Source organism: Homo sapiens, chromosome 1 (genome assembly GCF_000001405.40).
Source record: "Homo sapiens chromosome 1, GRCh38.p14 Primary Assembly".
Classification (NCBI taxonomy): Eukaryota; Metazoa; Chordata; class Mammalia; order Primates; family Hominidae; genus Homo; species Homo sapiens.
This window is the reverse complement of record NC_000001.11, coordinates 211,703,832-211,709,119: the sequence shown is the minus strand read 5'-3', so window position 1 is coordinate 211,709,119 and position 5,288 is coordinate 211,703,832. Positions and strand designations below refer to the sequence as shown.

The window sequence follows — 5,288 nt, the reverse complement described above, 5'->3', positions numbered from 1 at the left end:
GAAAGGGATCTCTGATGCTTCCTGCTTTTCCCAAGGGGTCCAGGCTGTTAGAGCTTGAATATTCGCTTTTAATTAAACTGATTTTAACCATAGCATTCTTTAATAAAGTACTTTTAGAATTTCTTATGCCAAATGGCTATTTCTGGCTTTTGAATTTTACCAAAGGTAACCTCCCAGGTGCTTAGAGAAAGGAAAATTTAGGATAGTCTGTGGAGGAGAAGAGAACAGACAAGGTCACGAAGATATTAAACCAGAAACAACTTACTTTCTAGGTTGGGAATTGAACCCAGATCACCACCGGAAAGGGCAAAACCTTCACTGCTGAGCTAGAGCACAGGGCCGTGTCCAGGTGCTTTCCCAGAAGGAGTCTAGAGTAGTTAATTTTGAGTTTGCAAAGGCTTTTAACTATCTCATATGATATTTAGAGCTAACTATGATACGAACCCTAAAATTCCTGTTCCCTGGAAGGCGGAGACCAAGAGAAAGTATGGCCACATGGTTAAAATGTCAAGCTCCCAAGGACATAAAACAAGGTGGAGACTTCATCCAACTTTTTTGGTTGTTTCAGGGACCTGCAGCCAAGTTTGTTACTGACCAGCTTGCAGGTCATCTTGAAAAGTGGGCTTACAGGTGTTCTAAGCCCGTGTTTTATCCTGGAGTACCCTTCAACACAGAAAAACGAATTCATAGCGCAAAATACACCAACTTAAGACTAGCCTTAGAATTCTTTTTCGCATTAATCAAAACTTTACAGAGGAGATAAACACTGATTTATTTCATTTTTTTTTAACCATTCATTCAACTGTTTGCACAGAGAGAGAGAAGCCAGAAATCTGACTGGTAAGAAATTCTTACCCTTTTGTCAGCATGCCAGGCTTCTGCGTTCCCTTTCTCTGAGTAGCCCTAGTGATCCAGCTTGAGGCACCATCACCCTGAGGGCCAAGTTGCATCATAAAGGAAAATTATTTTTTTTCATTCTGGCCATCGCAAAATACGTGTGATAAAACATAGACATTATCCACTCTGCGTAGCACCCAATATCAAACTGGCAAGGGCTAAATTTGCCCCCAGATAGGCCCCGTCATCTTTAATCCAGCCTCTGGCTTGGAGTTTCAACACGTGGTCTCTGGGCAAGATGGTTGCACTGAGTAACAGGAAAGATAGGAAAGGAAAAGTAGAGAAGGAAAGTATTGGCTGTGGCAGGGTGGGGAAGGTGAAGAGCTTAGGAAGGCCAGAGAAAGACCCACTCATTGCAGCCGACAATGAAAAGTTCAGGTGGCCGCTTGTCGGTAGCAAAGGGATCTTTCCCAGCAATCCCATCAGCTCTCAAGTTTCCCCGTTTAGGGAGGAAAAAGCTGCCAAAGTCCCACGATCCTGTACCTGCCTACCCCCGTCATCCACGGCTATCAGCAAAGAGTGCAAGGCAGATTAATTAGCAGTAATCTGTTTTTAGCCGAGAGGAACTTTACTTAGAGGGGCCTCTAACCCCGTAAACCTTAAAAGGGACTCTAACCCTCCTAAGTTGGGCCTCTAACCCGAGGTTGGTAAAGTGTCCTTGCCTTTTATTAAGAGGGGCCTCTAACCCACTCTGTCTTAGGAGAGACTCTAACCCCCCTAAGTTGGGCCTCTAACCCAATCCCATTCTTTACCCAGGTACCCCACCACTTACCCGAAGTCCTCCAATCAGTGCAACAGTCTATTTCCTTTGGGTCGGGGGTCTCCTCAGTATTGTCCCCTTTGTGGTCCAAGAGAAAGATGTTATTGGACCCCACCACTTACCCCAAGTCAGCCTTTGGGTCGGGGGTTTCTGCTGTATAGTCGCTTCTGTGGTCACCAGAAACATCTTACCAGAAGGGGGTATCGATCCAGACCCCAAGAGAGGGTTCTTGGATTTCACGCAAGAAAGAATTCAGGGCGAGTCCGCAGTGCAAAGTGAAAGCAAGTTTATTAAGAAAGTAAAGGAATAAAAGAATGGTTACTCCATAGACAGAGCAGCCCTGAGGGGTGCTGGTTGCCCATTTTTATGGTTATTTCTTGATGATATGCTAAACAAGGGGTGGATTATTCATGCCTCCCCTTTTTAGACCATATAGGGTAACTTCCTGATGTTGCCATGGCATTTGTAAACTGTCATGGTGCTGGTAGGAGTGCAGCAGTGAGGACGACCAGAGGTCACTCCCGTTGCCATTTTGGTTTTGGCAGGTTTTGGCTGGCTCTTGTACTGCAACCTGTTTTATCAGCAAGGTCTTTATAACCTGCATTTGTACTGACCTCCTATCTCATCCTGTGACTTAGAATGCCTTAACCATCTGAGAATGCAGCCCAGTAGATGTCAGCCTCATTTTACCCAGCTCCTATTCAAGATGGAGTTGTTCTGGTTCACACGCCTCTGACTTCCCAGCCTGCAGAACCGTAAGACCTCTGTTCTTTATAAAGTACCCAGTCTCAGGTATTCTGTTATAGCAGCACAACACAGACTAAGACGTCTCCAAACTGGTCTGTGTCTCCTCCTTTGGGACAGGATGAACCTGAGAACCCGATATGTTGTCCCAACAACTTGACAACCTCCCAGGGAATTCTTAGAAGGTGCTGAGGAAAACCCATTTCTGTGTCCTCTGACAAGGCTGTGCCTGGGCCCCAAGTGGGGGAAGCAGGTGTGTCCGTGAGTCAGTTGCACCATGCAACCAGCCCTGGAAGTCTTTTTTTTTTTTTTTTTTGAGACAGTCTCTCTCTATCACACAGGCTGGAGTGCAGTGGCGTGATCTCAGCTCACTACAACCTCCACCTCCCAGGTTCAAGCAATTCTCCTGCCTCAGCCTTCTGAGTAGCTGGGATCACAGATGTGCACCACAATGCCCAGCTAATTTTTGTATTTTTAGCAGAGACAGGGTTTCGCCATGTTGCCCAGGCTGGTCTCAAACTTCTGTCCTCATGTGACCCACCTGCCTCAGCCTCCCAAAGTTCTGGGATTGCAGGCATGAGCCACTGAGCCCTGTAGGCCCTGGAAGTCTTATAGACACAGGAGGATTCCTCCAGTATCACTCAGTTAAAACTTCAGTACAGAGGAGTGGGGTGGACAGAATGTGCATGTTCTGGAAATTAGCTCAGTGCATTTGCAAGCCTCCCTTGGCCTTTCTGACCTGCCTGTGCAGCTGTCCTCTGCAGTGGCACAGCTGAGAGCTTTATTACAGCTTAGAGCAACCTCCTATTTGGGTAAACAAATAGGGATGCTTAAAGGGACAAACGAATCAAGAAGTCAAAGAGGCAAGACACACTCGGCTTTTCTGGCACATGAATCCCTGGAGTGCTGAGGCTCTTCCATGGAAAACTCTATGGCACTCTGCCCTTCACACATACCTATTTAGCACGTCACTCTCCTGTGCCCTCTTCTCCCCACAAAGCCAACACCCTTGTTTAGATCATGCATGAGGCACTGATTTTGAACTGTCTGGTGTTGTGATGACAGTTTGCAAATGTAGCCTGATCGTAGGTTGCAGTTCCTGGAGCAAGTTGAGGCCCAGATTCCTGACAACTCTTGTCCTATAAGCCCTCGGGCTAAGGAGGTGCTGAGCCAGGAAGCATCTCCGGCCTCACCAGTTCTGCTTGGTGGGCAGAGAGCACAGGGCCAGGCAGGCAGCCAGCTCAAGAAAGGGCTATGGTTATACTGAGGTTTGCTTGATAACCTCCTAATGCTCCAATGTTTAGGCTAAGTAGGCCTGTTCTCCATAAGCACACAGGAGAATTATCATTCTAATAAAATAATAACTAGCTAATGTTTATGGAACTTGTACTAGGTCCCAGGCACTTGACATGCATTACCTAATGTAATCTTTGCAATTTTAGAAGTCAGTACTAGAAGTTAGGTGCTATTTTTATGTCCTTATTAAAGATAAGAGAAATGGACCCGGAACAGTGGCTCATGCCTGTAATCCCAGCACTTTGGGAGGTCCAGGTGGGTGGATCATTTGAGGTCAAGAGTTCGAGACCAACTTGGCCAACAAGGTGAAACTCTGTCTCTACTAAAAAGACAAAAATCAGCTGGGTGTGGTAGCGCGCCTGTGATCCCAGCTACTTGGGAGGCTGAAGCAGGAGAATTGCTTGAGTCCAGGAGGCAGAGGTTGCAGTGAGTTGAGATCATGCAACTACACTCCAGCCTGGGTGACTGGGCAACACAGCGAGACGCCGTCTCAAAAAAAAAAAAAAGATAAGAGAACTAAGCCTCAGTAAGTGGAAGGCCAGTTCTTAAACTGGAGTCTGCTTATCCCCAGAGCCATGTTTGTACCCTGTCCCAGGCTTCTCAACTTCCAGGAGCATCAGCATCCTGCATCAGTGGCCCCCAGAGGGCATGGTGAAGCCACCTGCTGAGCCCTCCCAGTTCCTGAATCATTAGGTCTGCATGGGGCCAGATTCGCCTTTCTTAAAAGCTCAGGCAGTACTGCTGGTCTGGCACCCACCCTTTGAGAGCACTGTGCTGCACTACACTTGGGGTCCCAAGCTTCCTGCAGAGACCACCTGGGGCTTTTACAACCCTCTAGTGTTATCACTGTTTGGTCTTTATCCAGGAAATCCACTCCCTAAAGGGTGTCATGCATCCCTGCCACTTCAGCCAGAGCATCCCTCAGTCATCTGCCAAAAACACTGCTGCAGTGGGGACAGGCACAAACTAATGCTCACATCTGTGCTCAAGATGCATGTTTTGCAACCGGCAGAACACTTAACAGCACAATGAGGCTCTTCTACACCTGAGTGGTCTTTGTCCTCACATGGAAGCACAGGCTTCACAAACAGGCCAGAGGCAAAGTCAGGGTTAGCTGGGCGATGAAGACAGCCAGCTAATTGCTCTTGCATCCACTTGCTGTCATGGGCAGCACTTAACCACCATTGTCATTTTACGCTGATGTCAGTATTGTTTAATCAGTGACCTTTCCTCCCACTGTAATGAATATTCCGCAAGGACATGGCTCTTTTCTGTCTTGTTCGCGCTGTGTGCCCAGCAACTGGACCAGCAGCTGGCATACAGGTGTGGGCAAGAGAATGTGTTGGGTGAACGAAAAAACAAATGCACAGGTGGACAAAGAAATATGAGTAAGTGAATAAACAAGTGCAGAGCCAGTCACGGGCAGATCGTGGAGTAGGGACACATGTGACTTGCTGGGAGCAGCTGCAAAATTTGGCTGGATAGAGAAACCACAAGGGGAAGCTGGGAAACTCAGCTTCCCCTCCTTCCTTCTGAAAGAGGCCCCCTTTTCACAGGTGTGAAAGGTGTAACGCTCTGCGTCCTGCCCACA

At 47.4% G+C, this 5,288-nt stretch overlaps 1 annotated feature.

The window, feature by feature from the left end:
- Window positions 4,471-4,972: an enhancer, noted in NCBI's record as "NANOG hESC enhancer chr1:211877490-211877991 (GRCh37/hg19 assembly coordinates)". NCBI's record gives its function as "activates a minimal SCP1, AML or CMV promoter by ChIP-STARR-seq in naive H9 embryonic stem cells {active_cell/tissue: H9 hESC(naive)}" and the evidence as "EXISTENCE:reporter gene assay evidence [ECO:0000049][PMID:30033119]".